General features: G+C 50.1%; 1 protein-coding gene across 2 annotated transcripts in view, besides 1 other annotated feature; it reads right to left on the minus strand.

Annotated features, from left to right (window-relative positions):
- TCERG1L (transcription elongation regulator 1 like) overlaps positions 1–19,823 on the minus strand; it is a 219,331-nt gene that overhangs the window by 52,087 nt on the left and 147,421 nt on the right. For both annotated transcript variants that reach the window (NM_174937.4, XM_047424966.1), the window contains 2 exons: positions 18,645–18,733; positions 2,029–2,183 (listed from right to left, as the gene is read on the minus strand). In NM_174937.4, coding sequence (NP_777597.2) covers positions 2,029–2,183; positions 18,645–18,733 — 244 coding nt within the window. The remainder of the gene's footprint in view (positions 1–2,028; positions 2,184–18,644; positions 18,734–19,823) is intronic.
- Positions 2,673–3,174: an enhancer, noted in NCBI's record as "H3K4me1 hESC enhancer chr10:132945413-132945914 (GRCh37/hg19 assembly coordinates)". NCBI's record gives its function as "activates a minimal SCP1, AML or CMV promoter by ChIP-STARR-seq in primed H9 embryonic stem cells {active_cell/tissue: H9 hESC(primed)}" and the evidence as "EXISTENCE:reporter gene assay evidence [ECO:0000049][PMID:30033119]".

The following is a 19,823-nucleotide window of genomic DNA, read 5'->3' on the forward strand; positions in this document are numbered from 1 at the left end:
TGAGTGCATTTTCGGGAATGGGAAGTTGTTCTCTTAAACATCAACTGCACCCTGGCAACCGGAAGTTGAGAATCGAAGTCATTTGCATATCCTTAAGATTCAGGTTAAAAAAAAAAAGACTGGTTGAAAACAAATCTCTTCCTCTCTTTATATGAGGAGGGAAGTAAGATTAAAAATCGTTTTATAACCACATGTAATTTTGTAATGTCTAAGTAGAGTACTTAGGTCTACCATAATAAAATGGGTATCAGACAAAATACCATATCATGCTAAATCTAAACTAATCAGGTATTTCTGGTTGTAAAACCTTAACTCTCTACCTTTCAGAGTATAACATGAGATTCTTGTTAAAAGAAGGAGACGGAGCATCGAGCTATGAGCCAGGAAATCCAGGCCCCTGTCGTCCACCCACAGTCCTGGCGAGCCCTGAGACCGCAGGTGGCCCAGTGGGGGCGTTTGCAGATGCCTCCCTACCTCTTTTCAGACCTGACCTGATTTGGTCCAAACAATAGAAATGAGAGAGCAACTATGCATTGCCTTTAATAAGTTCATTTGTTTCTCATTACTACCAATTTTGGGAGGGAAAAATGAAACAGCACCAAATTATCTACAAGAACGCAAGCTAAAGAAAGGAGTGAGGAATCTGCCAGCATGATCTGCCTTTGCCAAGCAAATAAAATCATTGTTAGGACAAACTGTGCCTTAATGTTTCCCGTGGGATCTGAGGGTGTCCTGATTTCCCTAAACTGTGCACCATCTTCTTGTCCATGAGTAAGAACCTTGAAAGGGTGCTTCCTGTCATGATTTTAAAGCACTCTTTCAAGACGTACAAGGCCCTCTTTTAATAATGAATGTGACCTGATCAAAGGAGGAAATGCAATTGCCAAATTCAATCTTCATTGTCTGTAAATACAGCAACGTTTTACAGACTCAACTCCATATGGACCTTGGAGATTTTTCTTTTCCCAACATCAGTTGATCCAGTCTCTGGATAATGCTGTTACTATTTTAAATGGAATAAACATTTTAAATGTGTGATGTCTCAATCTTAAAAGACTACCACCATGTCTCTTAGCATGGTTAAAAATGCTGATAAAACTTTTATAATACTGTCTTCTGAAGCTTCAGTCAAATACCTCTGGATTTGACACAAAGTGTGAATTACCATCATCTAGCATTAGCCCTCAATGACGTGAAATTAAAAATGCCACTAAGAACCCAATAGAATACCACACAAAACTAAAACAAAGAGTCAAGCTCCCCTTTCACTGGCCTGGCCTTGTAGCCAGGCATCTCTGCCTCTCAAGTTGGCAGGGAGCTCCTGCTCTCAAATGTCTGCAGTGGAGTCAAGACCGTTTGAATCCACATGCTCTGGGAGGAGGGCTTTCCCCACGCAGCAGCTAATAAAATATGTATTAGATCTAATCGGAAAAGATCCTTTGTGAAAATGCTGAAAGTTCCTCTCTGTTTCTTGGCGAAACAAGATTTACAGGCATTGTCAGAAACAACTGCCTCTGCCAAGCACCCCATTCCTCTGCAGCTGAAGAAAATCTCTTCCCCTGTCCGTGACCAGGGTTTTATGGAATTGAGGCATCCATCCAAGCACAACAGCAGATCAATGTGCTGCAAAGGTCTAAAGTGAATGTAAGGTGGAAGAAAACACACTCCCATCTGCGTACATCTGGTCTCTGAAGTGGCGTTCATAAGACATTTGGAACAAGAATAAAATGCTGGGTAACAGTGATGCTGGATGGAAGCTTTGAGGGGCGGAGGGAATGAATGGCCATCTCTGCGTTAATCACCTTACGTGATGCAAAAAGACAGCCAGAGCCGACCGCTTGGAAGGATCAAGGTTTCTGCAGGAAGTGCCATAAAAACTTGATTACTAAACTCTGCAATCGGGCACAGGATTCCTTAATAGTCAATTTTCAACATAACCAAGAAGAAACATGCTTTCACTTTACGTTCATTAGAAATAAGCAGCTTAAACACTTCAAAGGAGGTGTAAATAACCCAGGGCTTAGTTACTTGCTGGTGCCTCCAGCTTGCGTTTGTGGGGCGGGTCCTCAATGATCCTGTTGAGGTCTCCGCGGTCCTTCAGGTCCATGGGCTTCTCCCAGACAGACAGGTGCATCGTTGGGTTGAAGAAGAAAACTCGGTCATCGCCCGTCCAGACCACACACCTGTTTGAGTGGAAAAACTCATCTCAGTCGCTCTCGGAGACACTTAATTAGAAAGTCGTTAGCATGAACTCTCACTGAAAAAGCCCCTCAGGACCGAAATCCACACATTTGCAAAGCTTGTTTATGGATAGTATGAATACTAAAGACAAAGCCTGCCTTTTTAGGTGACCTTACGGATCTGACTCATTTGATTAACAGGTAGACATTCTTATCACCAGCCTTAGACCAGGGAGAACAACAACATTCAGAGAAGCCAAGCAGCTCATCAAGGTCACAGGCAGGCAGAGCTCTCTCCAGCCCACCAGCTGTCACTGCCTCAGTGAAATTCCATTCCAGATGCAGAGCACTCTGGGGCGCCTCCTGGCCCTGGTTCCGGCAATAGAGTAATTCGGAGAGCGGCTCCCTACACTTCCCCAGTTGAGCTCTGCATGGCCATCAAGCAATGCGCACGGCCACAGGTCATTACCCTCCGGCAGCAGCAGAATTAAAAGGGCTGCTGTCATTAGCAACCACAGCCCCGGTGTCCTGCTCATTTGTGGATGGGCAAATAAGGAAGATTTGTATTTTCATTTATGGAAACTGAAGACATCTAAAAGGAATTATGTGCCCTTTTTAAGCCCCTTATCTGTGAAAAGTTATCAGAAAAGATTAAAAAGAAAAAAAAATGAAGAGAAGAAAATTAATGAGAGGGAAGGAAAGGAAAAAAGTCCCTCCCTAAGGAATGCGGGTCCGGGAGCCTGCGGCATGGAGGTGCACGGGAGACTCTGCACTCTGACACTCTGACCCCGCGCTGTCCCCACGAGCAAGCGCGGCAGATAAAGGCCAGCAAGGCCGGCCGGGGCTCTGGGTTTAACCCCTAAGTCGTGTCAGGGTGCTATTAGAGATTGAGGCCTGTGCTGGCACCGAGGCCCGTTCCAGGTGTGGACCTCCCAGGAGGTTCCCCTGGGGCAAGCCCCCTCCCCTCTCTGGGCCTCGGCTTCCTGCAGTGACTTCAGAAGGTCCCTCTGGCTCCGCAAGTCTCCTGGGACTTTTCAGATGTGCAGGAGTGAATGGGTGGGAACACCCACATACCCACCTCTAGCTATTGACTTCCCCGAGGGAGGCCCCCGACCTGTTGGGGGTACTGTCGGGCACGGCCTAGGCCCCCGGTAGCCCACTCACGCCTCACTCCCGCCAGCCTCGCACAGGTTCGGGAGGAGCTGGGGATTCGTGCCAAAAGAAGCCACTCTGTTCTGCATGCAGAAAATCACTCCACACTTCACTCACCCAGGCACGTTCCATGGGCCAGGCAGAGGGCTCAGGGCCTGGGGCCCTGCATGTTGGCAACCCTGGGCAGACCAGGACCCCTCCCAGAAATCACCCTGAGAAGGTGTGCCGGCTCCACTACTCAGCCCAGCCACGCTCATGAGTGTGGGAGCCAAAATGATGGCTCCAAAGACGTCCACGTCCTGATCCCTAGAACAGGTGTGCATCACCTTACATGGCAAAGGGTCTGTACAGTTGGGATTAGGACCCTGAGATGGGGGAATAGCCTGGTCATTCAGGTGGCCCCAAATGTAATCACAAGGGTCCTTCTAAGAGGGAGGTGGGAAGATCAGTGAGGAAGAGATAGGAAGATGGAGGCAGAGGTGTTTCACACAAACACACTCTCAGAGACACACACAAACACACATACACACAAACAGACACACAGAGACACACATGCACACAGACATAGAGACACACACATAAACACACAGATATACAGAGACACACATGCACACAGAGACACACACATGCAGAGATACACACATAAACACACACAGACACATACACAGACACATGCACACATATATACACACACAAAGGGACACAAATGCACACATATACACATGCACAGAGACACACACATGCAGAGAAACACACATACACACAAATACAGACACACAGACACACATGCACACGTAGACACACACAGAGACACACATGCACACACACACGGAGAGACAGAGATCGGGAGATGCCTGGCCTTGAGGCTGGAGAAAGGAATCACGAGCTCAGGGTTGCAGGGGCCTCTGGAAGATGGAAAAGGCAGGAAATGGACCTCCCCATAGGCTCCAGAAGGATCCAGCCCTGCCCACACCTTGACTTTCGCCCAGTGAGACCTGTGTCAGACTTCTGATCCTCCCAACTGTAAGAGAATCAATGTGTGTCGCTGGAGCCCTGAGTCTGTGGGAGACGAATCAATGGGCTTCCCCCTCGGGGCGACTCTGTCCTGAGCACCAGCATCTGGGAGCCCTGACCTGAACCCCAAGTGTTGTGCCTGGAGGCCTTGGCCACAGCTGGCCTGGTCATCCATGTGGGAGAATATGACCTGCCCTTCTGCCTGGCAAACTTTCCAGCTCCAGCCCTGCCCTTGACCTACCAGGTGACCCTGAGAAGGTCGCCTCCCCTCGCTGGTGGCCTCATGCCCTCAACCCTTCAGATGGGGGGTGGAATGGGAATTTGCTTTATCTGGACAGTCCACCCAACTAGGGAAATGGACCAAGATAGAGTGTATCACACTCCCATGCCAGGTCCTGCCCTCAGGGGAGCGGGCTCATGGGCCCGTGGGGTGCTGCCCAGGCCCATGCTGGAGGCTGGAAAATGAGGCTGGCCAACTACAGCAGACTCCACACCCAGGTAGCTGGATCCCTTCCTGCTCTCAGATCAGGCAGACCATTGTCCCCAGCAAGCCCAGGCCAGGGATACCTGACCTCTGGGGCCTGCAGGGAGGCTGTGGGTATGCATTTATGGTGCAGAACCCGGCTAGCATAGGAAGTTTTTATTGAGTCTAAAGCTGAAGGTAACCACACTGTGCTGTAAATTATGCACAATTCAGCTACTATATGAACTCTGCAGACAGCATGGGCCAATAGGGAACATAAGCCCAGGGTAGAGACTGACTCCTTTCCTCCAGACGCAGACCTGGTGATGACCTGCTTCCCGGGTGGAGCTGTGAGTGAGTGGGCCACAGGCAGAGCCTATTATTAGCTCCCCACGAGGCCTGGGCTCTTTGGCAACACGTAGGACGTGGACAGTTTTACTACTGCGACATTGGGCTCTGTCTCCAGGCACCCCTCTTGCAAGGAATGCAGCTAGACTCATCGATGAGACCCTGATGCCAGCGGGGGTGCAGGGAGTGAAGAAACCCTGAGCCCGCCTCCTCATGCTGTATGTCTCATGCCCAGCATGTCAGGACCAGAGGAAGCCCAGATCCGGCCCCTCAAGGGCTTCAGAAGCTTCCATGACTGGACAGTGGCTGGAAAGGCAGCCCCAAGCCTGAAGCTCCCAGCAGCAAGAGGGCCCATTTCTAACAGTATTGCTTGGGATGTTTTTTCATGATGTTTTGCTGCAACTGGTCTGAGTGGCAAATCCTAGAAGCGTCCTTGGCTCTCTGTGTTCCTCTCTAGCAACTTAAGACTTAAAACCTGTTGTGTAAACCCATGAAGGTCTCACCAGGAGCCTGACCTCACCTGGAGAGCACAGAACAACTTCCTGTGACCTGGGTACAGCAGATGGACCTGTTGAGCACCATGTTTCTGGCAGGAGGCCATCTGGCCCCCAGCCTCCAACGGCCTCACCCAGAGGTGGGGGGACCTGTGTGCTCCTCTAGAGTCACTGAAGTGTGGGGATACTCAGCCAGGGGCCAGATGCTCACTGAGGCATCTCCAGTTCACTAAGAGCTGCTAGGTGCACACAGTGTCAGGCATTCATACTGCATTCCACAAGCAACAGGGCCACGGGAGAATTATCCGGAAGCCAGAGGCCTCGGGACACAGGCTCAGACTGGCTGAGTGGCCCCATCCAATCCCAACCCTCCCACTGGCTTGGGGAGCTTTCCTAACTTGGTAACTCGCCAGCTTTCCTGAACACCCAGGGGTGAGCCCTGAGCCAGTTGAGGGCCAGAGGACTGGGGGAAGAAGAAGCTGAAAGAGGTGAGAGGATGACCCATTTCCTGGCAGGGACCAGCAAGAGCTCTGTTCTGCCCACTGCAGAGTTTAAGAGAAACAGGACTTCAACTTTGGGCCCCGATAGCACACGTGGATCTCCTGTCATCCTGCGCTAGGCTGAGGGCAGGTCAGTGGCTGTATGAGTCCATTCTCACATTGCTGTAAGGAGATACCTGAGACTGGGTAATTTATAAAGAAAAGAGGTTTAATTGACTCACAGTTCCTCATGACTGGGGAGGCCTCAGGAAACTTACAATCATGGCAGAAGGCACCTCTTCACAGGGCAGCAGGAGAGAGAATGAGTGCCAGCAGGGGAAGTGCCAGACTCTTATAAAACCATCAGATCTCATGAGAACTCACTCGCTATCACAAGAACATCATGGGGGAAACCACTTCCGTGATTCAATTACCTCCACCTGGTCCCACCCTTGACACACGGGGATTACCATGAGGTGAGATTTGGGTGGGGACACAAAGCCAAACCATATCATTCCACCACTGGTCTCTCCCAAATCTCATGTTCCTTTCACATTTCAAAACCAATCATGCCTTTCCAACGGTCCCCCAAAGTCTTAATTCATTCCAGCATTAACCGAAAAGTCCAACTCTAAAGTCTCATCTGAGACAAAGCATGTCCCTTCCACCTATGAGACTGTAAAATCAAAAGCAAGTTAGTTACTTCCAAGACACAAATGGGCGTACAGGCATTGGATAAATGCTCCCATACTAAATGGGAGAAATTGGCCAAAACAAAGAGGCTATAGGCCCCATGCAAGTCCAAAATCCAATACGGCAGTCATTAAGCCTTAAATTTCCAAAATGATCTCATTTGACTCCACACCTCACATCCAGGTCATGCTGATGCAAGAGGCGTGCTCCCTCAGCCTTGGGTAGGTCTTCCCCTGTGGCTTTGCAGGGTACAGTCCCCTTCCTGGTTGCTTTCACGGGCTGTTGTTGAGTGATGGTGGCTTTTCCAGGTGCATGGTGCAAGCTGTAGGTGAATCTACCATTCTGGGTTCTGGAGGACAATGGCCTTCTTCTCACAGCTCCACTAGGCAGTGCCCCAGTAGAGACTCTGTGTGGGGGCTCTGACCCCACATTTCCCTTCTTCACTGCCCTAACAGAGGTTTTCCATGAGGGCTCTGCACCTGCAGCAAATTTCTGCCTGGACATCCAGGCATTTCCATACTTCCTCTAAAATCTAGGTGGAGGTTCCCAAACCTCAATTCTTGACTTCTGTGTACCCAGAGGCTCAACACGTGAAAGCCACCAAGGCTTGGGGCTTGCACCTTCAGAAGCAATGGCCTGAGATGTACTTTTGCCCCTTTTAGCCATGGCTGATGCTGAAGCAGCTAGGATGCAGGGCACCTTGTTTCAAGGCTGCACAGAGCAGGGTGACCCTCCTAGCCCTCCAGGCCTGTAATGGCAGGAGTTACCATGAAGCTCTCTGACATACTCTGGAGACCTTCTTCCCATTGTCTTGGTGATTAACATTTGGTTCCTTGTTATTTATGCAAATTTCTGCAGCTGGCTTGAATTTTTCCCCAGAAAATGGGTTTTTCTTTTCTATCGCGTGGTCAAGCTACAAATTTTCCAAACTGTTATGCTCTTCCTCCTCTTGAATCCTTTGCCACTTAGAAATTTCTTCCACCAGACACCCTAAATCATCTCTCTCAAGTTCAAAGTTCCACAGATCTCTACGGCAAGGGCAAAAAGCTGCCAGTCTCTGCTAAAGCATAGCAAAAGTGGCCTCTACTCCAGTTCCCAGCAAGTTCCTCATCTCCATCTGAGACCACCTCAGCCTGGACTTCATTGTCTATATCACTGTCTATGTTTTGGTCAAAGCCATTCAACAAGTCTCTAGGAAGTTCCAAACTTTCCCACATCTTCCTGTCTTCTGAGCCCTCCAAGTCTCTAGGAAGTTTCAAACTTTTCCACATTTTGCTATCTTTTTCTGAGCCCTCCAAACTGTTCCAACCTCTTCTGCTACCCATTTCCAAAGTTGCTTCCACATTTTCAGGTATCCTTATAGCAGCACCCCACTCCTGGTAAGAATTTACTGTATTAGTTCATTCTCACATAGCTATAAGGAAATACCTCAGACTGGGTAATTTATAATGAAGAGAGGTTTAATTGACTTACAGTTCCACATGGCTGGGGAGGCCTCAGGAAACTTACAATCATGGCAGAAGGCACCTCTTCACAGGGTGGCAGAAGAGAGAATGAGTGCCAGCATAGGAAATGTCAGACGCTTATAGAACCATCAGATCTCATGAGAACTCACTCGCTATCAGGAGAACAGCATGGGGGAAATGGCCCCCATGACTCAATTACCTCCACCTGCTCCTGCCCTTGACACATGGGGATTATGGGGATTACAATTCGAGGTAAGATTTGGGAGGGGACACAGAGCCAAACCATATCAGTGAGTCTGGGCAGGTGAATTCATTAAGGGGTCCTGGGCAGGCATCAGTATTAGTGGGTCCAGGAAGAGGAGCAGCAGAGTTGAGAGTCCCACAGAAGCCTCCCCAGACACTAGGCTGAGTGGTGTGTGAGGACGCTGGGTGCATGGCCTCTTCTAGCAGAGGGAGGAAAGGGCAGAGCTGCCTGGCTTAGACTCATCTCCAGCCAGGGCAGCAGGACCCACCTGAATTTCCCCGGATGTCCTACTTTCCACAGAAAACCAAAGCACCTTCACCAAAGGTCAGGGCAGCATGAGGAAGCTGGGTTCCCTTGCTCCTCTGCTGGGCTGCTCACCCTAAGCCCCGCGTGCTCATTCCCTAGAGAATCAAATGCACTGAGACCCTAGAAACCTGTGTTCCAGAGTCCTCGTGGAATGCTCCAGGCGGCCCTATCCACTGGGTCTCATCATTTTCTCATTGACTTTCTGAGGGATTTTCCCAGCTGGCCTCCAAGCTTTGCTATTAACTTAAGAAAGAGGCTTTACATTTGGGGATTTATATTCAGCCAAATTTTCCCCAGATCCTAGGCCAGCATTTGTTGTAAGTGCAGTGCCTCAGGATGCACTGACTCTAGGTCCCCGGTTCTCAGATGCAGAGACACCCAAGGTGCATTCCGATGCTGGGAGCAGCCAGCACCCTGGAATGCCCCAAAGTGTGGGGAAACAGCTTCCAATTCCCAGTAAAGAGTGGAGCTAATTAGGACTTGGTAAGAGATTACACCCAGGAGGAGGCCGAGTGACGGCAACTAACACGCCACCCATTTATATCCAGGCCACAAAGAGCCCAGCTCCTGAGCCCTGGGGAAATGCATGGAGTTGAACCAGAGCGGGTATGGAGTTGAACCAGAGTGAGTAGCTGGTAAATAAATGCAGTTTCCCCAGAGAAATCCACCCATCCACTCGTTACGGTTGGCTTCCACTGGACGGGGCCAGCTGTAACACGCAGAATTAATTTTATGTACCATTTTATGCCCATTCTAAGTAATATGCATGTGTTCCCCTTCTTTAATCACACTGTATAATTTCTGGATACCTGCCATATTCCCTCTTCTAACTGTCCCCATATCCCAGAGGATATAGTTAGTGTATCAGCATTATTTAAGTCTGGTACAGTACATCCACACCAAGCAGCCGCAATATAGGAAGGTCTGGGTTTCATTGAATGAACACTGGGGTTGTTGCTTTGTTGTATGAAAGGACTCCCACACTCATCCTGCAAATAGCAGGACCCCAAGCTTCAAAATCAGCTGGCTGGTGGGGAGGGAATGCTCCCCTCCCAGTCCCCCACTACACAAAGGCTCTCCCTGGATCCCTGTCTCCATCCATCTTTCACCCCTGAATGCCCTGTTCCAGGAGTGTCCTGGGGATGGACAAAGCCACACACTCCCTGGGGCCGGGCCACCAGGGCTGAGCTCTCAGAATGAAAGGGCCGCACCCAATGCCCTTTGCCGTCTTCTCTCCCTCTCCTGGTCCTCCCCACCTTTTCTGGGGTTTTGTATCTGGGAAGGGCCCAACCTAGGCAGGACTGAGTGGCCCAGGCCCATCCACCTGGCAGCTGGGTGAGGGACTAGGGCTTATAAGGACTCCAGGAGGAGCGCAGGGAGACCTCCCTCCCACCTTCCTTCCCTCTTGAGTAGGTTCTCCAGCCCAGCCGTGTCTGGCCATGGTTGCCACCACCACCAACCCTCACTTTGAGAAGAAGGTGCAGATATGCAAGACAAGGACACGAGCGTGCAACAGGCGTGCTGTGCTGGAACTGAAGGGGCAGCCTGGGCCAGGCACCTGCCGCGTGACTGTGTGGCCTCTCCGCTTCGGGCCGTGGGCTGTCTTGCTGTCCTTTCTCATAAATCGATAGGGCTAGTGACGTTCTAGACAGAAGGTGCTCCAGGCGCTGGCGGCTGCTGCACAGTGAGAGTCCAGGAGCCTGGGGACACAACCTTGGCCTCCCAAGAGCACGGGCTCCCCTACTTCCTCCTTTGAGGTAAAAAGACACGAGGAAAGAGTGCCAGGGAGAGACTGGAAGTGAGACGGTGGACAAGCTGGGTGGGGACGTCCCTGCACGGCACCAACAACGGAGGCTTCTTGGCTGAAAACAAAATTCCCCTTGCCCTGGGCTCAGGTGTCTGTGCTCCTAAAGGCATCACTGTTAACTTCTTGGCATAACTCTTAAAAGATTTTACCAATCCATCTTTAGTTATTTCACACAAATGGATGTTGTCATTGTTAAATAATGAGCCGCAGGGAAAGACCACTCCATGGTCATGTCAAGCCGAGTCCACTCGGGGCCCTGCCAGCTCTGCCCAGCCTTGCAGCACAGACACAAGTCCCCGGAGGCTTGCCGGGAGGGCAGCATCTGCCCCACGCAGCCTCTGAGAACACAGGTTTCTGCACACAGGTTCAGCCAGGCTCCACCCGGGCTGGGGGCTGCCGGGAGAGCCTGTCTTTATGGAGTTCAAACGGGATGTCACCCTGCTCTTGCACCCAGCAGTGTCCCAGCTTTCCTCAAACCCAGGGACTCATCTGATTTCTGATCTCCCCGCCAGTCGCCAGTGGAAGATGGATAGAACTGCCACCGGCCCCATGCAGGCAGGGGGCTGACAGCACGTCCGGGAGCTGGTGGCTGCCTGGGAACGAAAGCAAGGTGGCCTCAGGACCAGAGAAAATCAGCTCAGAGGGAACTGGAGGTGGCACAGCCCACGGCCCACCCCCCACTCCCTGGGCTGCTCCCACCAGAACTCTCAAATGCGAGCTAAATGGCAGCTTCCCCGCCAACTCCTCCTCCCTCACTAAACCACACTGACATTTAATTCAACATTAGAGTCCCCTCCCTGACAAGTGACTCCTCCTGTCCCTTCTCTGACATAATAAAAGACTCAATTATGCAAAAGGGCCGAAGTGACATTTGGTTTCTCTTCAGCACTACTTACTCAAAGAAGACCGATGCGTCCTCCCTCAGCTTAGCGAGTGCAACTGCAAGTCAGAGGACGGTGCACGGGAGAAAGTGACACAGGCTGATGTGACCGAGCCCCGCATCTCTCGTAATCACCATCATTTCTAATCACCTTTTTCTTCTTGAACATCATCCACATGTATCATGTCTTGGGAAACTTTTCCTTTCTTTTTAGAAAAGTTCTACCAACTTCATCTCAGAACATGATTTTGATACTAGTTTTTCAAAAGTCAAACATGCTCAATACCTGTATTTAGAAAATCCAGAGAAACATTTTTTTAAATGTCACGCCCAATAAATAATTATGAACTAATACAAAAAGATGTTACCCACGGGTACTGAAATAGAAAATGAAGTCACAACTAAGGACAAGTCATTAGCATAAAATCAGGAGAGCCAAAGCATGTCCCTGGGATTTGAAAATACAAAACAGCCCTTTGAAAAATGCTTACACTAAGGGAGGAGACCACCCTTCATACTGTCTTATGCCCAATTTCTGCCTCCAAAGAAAGAAAAAGTAAAAACTAAAAGGCAGAAATGAAATCCACAAGCAGACAGCCCGGCGCCACACCCTGGACCTGGCAGTTGAAGATCGACCCCTGACCTAATCGGTTATGTTATCTATAGATTCCAGACATTGTATAGAAAAGCACTGTGAAAATCCCTGTCCTGTTTTGTTCTGATCCAATTACTGGTGCATGCAGCCCCCCAGTCACATACCCCCTGCTTGCTCAATCGATCACGACCCTCTCACGTGCACCCCCTTAGAGTTGTGAGCCCTTAAAAGGGACAGGAATTGCTCACTTGGGGAGCTCAGCTCTTGAGACAGGCGTCTTGCCGATGCCCCTGGCCGAATAAACCCCTTCCTTTTTTAACTCGGTGTGTTGTCTGCAGCTCATCCTGCTACAACACCTACAACAGCTCACAAAGCACATCTCTAGGCTGGTGTCTGCTCATAGCTCTTACCTCTTTAGGCAGAAATGCAGTCAGCCCCTGGCTTCTGGGCTAGGCACACCTACTAACATCAGAGGAATGCACCGTACTCATTTTGATAATCCGCCCCACACTTCTTACCTTTTAACGACTTTTGCCTCTTAGGATAAAACGTGAATCAGCTTTGCCAGAAAATGGCGCCTTCTGACATTGTCAACTTCCCAAAGTGCACTTTCGTATCTTTCCAAGCCATCTTAAAAAGAACTTTGATCTGTGCTATTAACAGACCATGACATAAAACCTGCACTGTAGCAATCTGAATTTGTTTAGAAAATAATATGTTAAAACCAATATTTAATATATATTTTTTAATTTCACAAAAATAGCTAACTACTCGTAAATCTATAGTATTTTAAATGATTTTAAGATGTTGATTAATCATTGTTTTTGACATTTATTGTCATTTAATCCAAAAGCTATGGATTTTACACTTTGTCGAGCAATTACTGTTGACATTTTCCCATGTCATCAACTCTCCAAAAACATTTTTATTGTGAATAAGTGGGAGTGGTTTAATTCCCTCAAAATTACTATTTGTGTCTAAAGCCAAATTACAAAAAAAAAAGACGATACAGAAATTCCGAAGGAGACTAAAATAATAATAATGCTATTCTACTGTTAACATGCCTAAAAGTTTAAAGAAGATTTAAAAAAAAAGTAATTCAAGTTTCATTGCAACTGTTGCCATGACACAAGCTCTGTCTTCTCTAGAGGAGGACCGGATTTCACCTGGCATGAAAGTAAACGCACTGTCTTCATTTCCTTTAACCTCCTTAAAATACCATGCCTGGGACACGGTATCCTTGAAAGTACTCAGCAGTAGAATGTGGAATAGGTTTTCAGATAGCAGAGTTGGCTACAGAAGTTACTCTGAACTTCGACACCATTTTCAATGGTTACACTGGCCCAGGCCATTAGACAAGAGTGAGTAGATGGCTCTTTCTTCATTTTTATTCCCTGTCAGGGTGTGAATTTTGCATTTCTCAAGTGCTTAGTATTACATTAATGCTTTCAAGGAGGCCCTGCGTCTGGCCACCTCTCGGCAGCGACAACAGCAGAGAAATTCCCACATAGTTAAGAATAACTAAGGATGCCGCCCGTCCGCTGCCGGCATTCCGTATGGATTCACTGAGCTCTAGCAGGGAGTACCAGCTCCTGCAGGGAATGGGAGAAACATCACCCTTCTGCTCTCATCACTTTTAAACCAGTTTCTACCACCTCATTGCTTTCTAAGACGCTTTCCCAAGAGCAGGTGCATATCAGAAAAATGCTGGAGGAGTTTCACCTTTGAAAGTGAGTTTCTTCCCTATAACTGTACACAGGAGATGGAGGGTCTTATTCAGTCTGCTGTCTTCTCAAACACTCCATTTCTTAGCCGTAGTTTTATTCAAAATGTATTTAATAACTACATGAAAAAGTTAACCACGAGTAAGACTAATTTGATTTTTGTTGCACATGTGTTGAGTGGATTCCAGAACTCCTTACATCCTTATCATCCCAATTCCAGCTGCCCCCAGATGGCTCTGTGATATGCAAGAGGAATTCTTTCTGAGCCTGCTTTAGCCCAGCCTGCTTGGCCGGCCCACCTATGTGGAAACTTCTAGAAGCCAAGTTTCCTTAGGAGAAGGTTGAGGTCTACACTTACGTAGACAGAGGATCTAATTCTGGGATCTGACCTGAGCTGACAGCCCGGACCACCACCCCTGCCTGGCTGAGGGCGGCCTGGTCTCTGAGTGCCAAGCGGACCATCGCAGAGAGGATGCACCGTCATGGGACAGACAGAAGGAGATTCCCTGAGACATGGGGAGCGAGCTCTGGGCTTGGCCGCGAGAGGGAGGAGAGTCAGCGGAGCCATCAGAGCTTCCTCTGCGGCCATGCCTGCTCACCCCGCCACCAGTTCAGCTGGCAGTGCCCGTGGGGTCCCCCAGGTGACCCTGAACTGGCCTTCTAAGACTCGACCCCTGCCCACCATCCTTCCCACCCACTTCCACTGCAGCCCCGAACCCCGAGCACAAGACCTTTCCCTGCTTTACACTTGGCCACGATGACCTTCTGCGGGGCAGGTGGGTTCTCACTCACGGTTGGGGGCCTCGGCAGGAAAAGGGGCAGTGTGCCCTGGGGAGAGGGCTCCTTTCTCCTTTCTGTCAGCTCAGGGCAAACAGGCAAACCACACTGTGCCCTGACAGCCATGTGCCAGGGACTTACCGAGCACCGTGGGCTTGACCTCTCCGTCTAAGTATTCCAGGGCTGAGATGAAGACCAAGGAGGTCGTCTATTTGGGCAGGGATGGGCTGTTGTGCCTCTGGCAGAAGCTGTTGTTGAGGCCCCTCCCCAATGCCTCCTTAGTCCTGGGGGCTCTGCCAAGCTCCTGCTGAGACCCCCTGTGGTCTTCTTAGAAAGTTCACGGCGGCCACAGTCTCTGAGACATTCTCTGTCTGGGCAAAGACACCCTTTCTAAGCATGGGTTGTTTCAAATGGGTGAGGGAAAATGAGACAGATGAAAGGGCCCCACTCCTGTCCCTGGAGCTCCCAGTGTGTCTCCATGAGACCCTGGCTGACTCTGGGGAAAGGCTGACTACTAGCAAATCTCTATAAGCGAGACGGAAGCAGATGATTCAGCTAATCAGGTGAAATAGGCATAGAGCCACCCCCCAACCCCACCCCATGGCAGAGAGCTTTTCCTAGACGCAGGCTGCAGTGTGAGGAGAGTGTGCTGTTCCCAGGCCTGCGTGCATCATGCTGCCATTAGTGAGGATGTCACATCACGAGGCACACAAAGCCCTCCTTGACAGAGCACGCGGCCACAGGAGAAGCTGAGATCTGGAGAGGCCCCTTCACTCTGCAATGTCGAAGGTGCCTCCACCTTTAAGGGTGAGTGCAAACCCACCCTCTGAGGTCTGGTGGCGGTCTGCCAATACTCACATCCTGATTCCAACAGCTGCTCAAACAAGCCTAGGCTCTCTCTGCATTCAGGTGGGGCTGAGATTAGACTAAACATGAAACGAGAAACGCAGTGAAGCAGCAGCCACCTCTCCCTCCCTCTATGGTACTGCACAGGTCCCAGCAGGCAAGCCTAGATCTGATTCAAGCAGTGTGCTCCCAGCGTGAAGCTTCTCCGTCCACTCAAAGGTATTAGTTCGTCTCGTAACACAGGAGGCGCCCACCTGGGGCTCCCTGGAGAATTCCCTCTCATCCTCATGCTTGCCAGTTAAAGACGACATGGCCAGGAATCCACACTGCACCTCTGCCTTAGTGGCACCAGTCACTGTGCAGACCAGGAAGGCCTGTAGGTCCTGTGGGACCTTGGCCATCCTTCCTCTGTGCTCCCAGGCCCAAGCCCTCACCCACCTCACCTGAAGCCCGTGGCCCTACACCCCGCCACTCCCTCTGACCACCTGAAGCCCCTGGCCCTACACCCCGCCACTCCCTCTGACCACAGCCACCCTTACCTCCCATGCCCAGCACCCGCCATTCATTCCCTCATCTGCAAGTACCCCTGGCTTAGCTGCTCCACTCTCAGAAACCCACAAGGACCTGCTAAGTCCTCGTCCTGCATGGGGTCTGCCACGTGGACCAAGCTACCTCCCACGTGGGCCAAGCTGCCTTGTTCTGCTTCTGTGCCCGAACATCTCCTGCCGCAGGGATAATCCACTTCCCAGTGAGATCATGCAGCAACCAACAGACTCCCTCACCTACCCAGGATTCATCGGCAAAGACCCACGCCGAGGGAGGGGAGTGCAGCAGCCAGGGAACCGTTTTCATTTGCTGGATCGCACGAAGCCTTGCTCATGGTAACACAATATCGCTGGGGAAGAAAGCCGCAGCTTTCGCAGTGAGAAGGTTCTAGGGCTCAAGGTCAAGTCTTCTGGATCCCTGCAACGCCCCAGGGGAGCTTGGCGGAAGCTGTGTGAGGATTCCACAGGGTCTTGGGGAACGTTTCCCCATCCTGCAGCGTGATATGCGGCAGTGTGCCTGCCTTGGAGACACTGGAGAGTTTGCCTGTAGAAGCTCTCAACCAGTTCGTGGCATCGTAAAATGTATATGCAGTCATGTGCCGCAGAGTGACATTTCTCTCAACCATGGACTGACCACACATACCATGGTGGTCCCGTCAGATTATAATATCAAATTTTACTCTACCTTCTCACATTTGGATGTGTTTAGACACACACATCCCTACCACTGTGTCACAACTGCCTCTGTGCAGTCAGCGCTGTGTGGTCTGCAGCCTGGGAGCCACGGTCTACACCATGCAGCCCAGGCGTGCAGGAGGCTGTGCCACCAGGCCTGTGTGAGCACACCCTGTGATGTGCATAAAAGGATGTCGGATGCCACTGCCTAAGGATGCCTTTCCAGAATATACCCCTGTCGTTAAGCAGCAGAGGGATGTATACGGTCTTTGTTCCAGATTCCTGACACAGAGCTTCCCAAACTCTTAGAATTTCCTGAGCGAAGAAAGCATCTTGTTATTCCTACCAAGTCCCTGACCTGGTAGGAATAACACCTGTGCCTGAGGCTGCGCAAATGAAATGACTTCAGGACCCCTGAGTAGCTTCAGGGAGGGTGCTGGTCTCCAGAGACACCAACCATGTGACTTCAGGACCCCTGAGTAGCTTCAGGGAGGGTGCTGGTCTCCAGAAACACCAACCACGTGACTGGAGGGCCGTCACTTTCAGCGCTGCCCAACCCTCTGAGTCCTTTCACTTGGCCGATGATTTCATCAGTCATGCCTATGTAGTTACATCTCCATTAAAATTCTAAAACATTGAGGTTCAGAGTGCTTCCAGGCTGGTGAACGCTGCAGCACTGGGAGGGTGGCGCCGGCGAGGCCCAGAAGCTCAGTCAGGTCCACACCTTACCCTGAGCATTGCTTCCACTGGCTGTTCCTGAGTTGTATCCTTGATAAAACAACTGTAATCCTAAGTAAAGCGCTTCCTGAGTTCTGTGAGTGGTCCTAGCAAATCACCACTGAAGTGGAGAGGAGGTCATGGGAACCCCAGATCTGTGGTCAGCTGGGCAGATGTGCAGGCAGCTGGGGGGCCCCATTTGCAGCCAATGTCTAAAGCAGGGCAGCCAGAGGGACTGACCCCAGCCTGTGGGGTTTGGCTCTAACTCCCAGTAGTTAGCATCAGAATCGAGCTAAATTGTAAGGGTTGGAGAATGGGTGGCTGGAAAACAGCATAATATTAGTACAAAGAGGTCTCACCCCGAGGCACTCCCAGGGTACAGAGGAGCTTTAGCTACAAATGGAAGGCTGGAGGCACCAGGAGCCTGCCACCGACACTGACCATGGCATAGAAGCCAGGGGTGCCAGTCTGTCCAGATTGGAGCCAAGTTCACCCGAATCATCAGAGGACCAGGGCATGGCACAGCAGGCCCAGTCAGCAGGGATGTGCTCACTCGCTATGCAAGGCTGGTGGGGGCCCTGCGCTCCTTAGCCGGCTGCCTTCTGTACCTGGCTGGCACATTGAGCTGACACAAGTGGTTGTTATTTCTGTTCTTTAAATTAGCTGTGCCTCCCAGCTGTGTACTGCACTCTCATCTTCAGGCTTGAAACTTAATTTTTACTGTAATAACCTTTTATTCTGCTTCCAAATGACTCCATTATAAAAGGGCATTTTTAAAAACCAAAAACTGTAGCTCCCTCGTGGAGGGTGTCTGGAGTGTGGCATATTCCGAGAGCAAGCAGCCACGCAGGGCGACAGAGAGAACAGGCACGTCTTTAATTAACTGCCATTCAGTTACGATTCTTCTTGGAGTGGAGGGAAAACAGATCTTTTGAAGCATAAGGCATGCTACACTTTCTTCAGCCACTGCCTTTCGCTGATAGACATGCAACAGCATTATCATTTTAATATATATTCACAGACAGATCAGAGCAGGATAGCTCATCGCTTAAATGCTGTTTTTTTCTTTCTGCAGAATGTGACCACAGTGCAGAATTACACCTGCCGGGAGTTGCAAGTTCATTGTTTTTAAGACACAGGATGCCTGAGAGACATGCAGTGTCTCTTTGGTGACATCAGGCAAATGCCAGGACCAGACAACGCCATTGCTAGTGGCTCTCAGGCTTTGGGGTGTCTTACCAGGGGGATCCGGGCACCGGGGTGGAGGCCACTGGCCTGTTGCCTCTGGCTGTGCTGTCCTCTCCTCCCCCCAGCATCGGTGGAGGCTCCTTTCAACAGAAAGAGACAGGGGAGTGGCTTTTAATTTTAAACACTCATCTTCAATTACAAGCAAGGAAGGGAGGAATAAACAAATCTCCTGCAGGCAGGCAGCTTATAGTAGCCACGAGATAATGACCTCAGCACGGCAGCGCCTGGCTGGGAGGTTCTGCCAGGAACAGGGAGTCAGTGCAGAGCAGACTGGGTAGAATCACCTGGACAAAGGCACCCCTCATTGTCCCCAGTTGTCTAAGCTGCCTGCTTTTCCAGAAGCAGAGACGGTCAGAGGCAGCCAAGAGAGGGCATCTGAGGTCTGAGGTCTTTGGGACAGAAAATCTCACTGGCTTCATCCCCAGAAATGAGCTGACCCAGCGGTGGGAGTCACTGTGCCATGAAAACAACAGCATTTAGTGGCAGAGAGCCTCAAAGCTGGGGCTGCCACATCCTGTTAAGGCGGGAGGAGGCAACAAACCCATATTCCTCAATAACGACTCTGCCACATAGAGTCTAGTTCCTCCCCAGGCTCCCGCCCTTCCCAAACATCCAGCTGGGGGCAGGGCTCATGGGGCTGTTCCGCATCCTGGGGATGATTCTGATTCTGACACTCAGTTGGTCCACATTTCCATTAAGAAATAAGAATGTTTGAAATGCCAGGCATGGTGGCTCACGCCTGTAATCCCAGCACTTTGGGAGGCCGAAGCGGGCAGATCATGAAGTCAAGAGATCTAGACCATCCTGGCCAACATGGTGAAACCCCATCTCTACTAAAAATACAAAAATTAGCTGTGTGTGGTGTGCGCACCTGTAGTCCCAGCTACTCGGGAGGCTGAGGCAGGAGAATCACTTGAAACTTGGAGGCGGAGGTTGCAGTGAGCCGAGATTACACCACTGCACTCCGGCCTGGGGGACAGAGTGAGACTCTGTCTTAAAAAAAAAAAAAAAAAAGAAAAAAGAAAAAAAAAAGAAAATTTATCACCTAGAATAAAATGAAGATCTATGCCCTAAAATTAAAAAGAGAGAAAAATAAGCTATGGTTAGGACACTTGATCAGTATTCATTAAGAATAAAATTTGGAGAAAAATAAAAGTTGCTTGAGATTTA

This window comes from Homo sapiens, chromosome 10 (assembly GCF_000001405.40).
Source record: "Homo sapiens chromosome 10, GRCh38.p14 Primary Assembly".
NCBI classification, from domain to species: domain Eukaryota; kingdom Metazoa; phylum Chordata; class Mammalia; order Primates; family Hominidae; genus Homo; species Homo sapiens.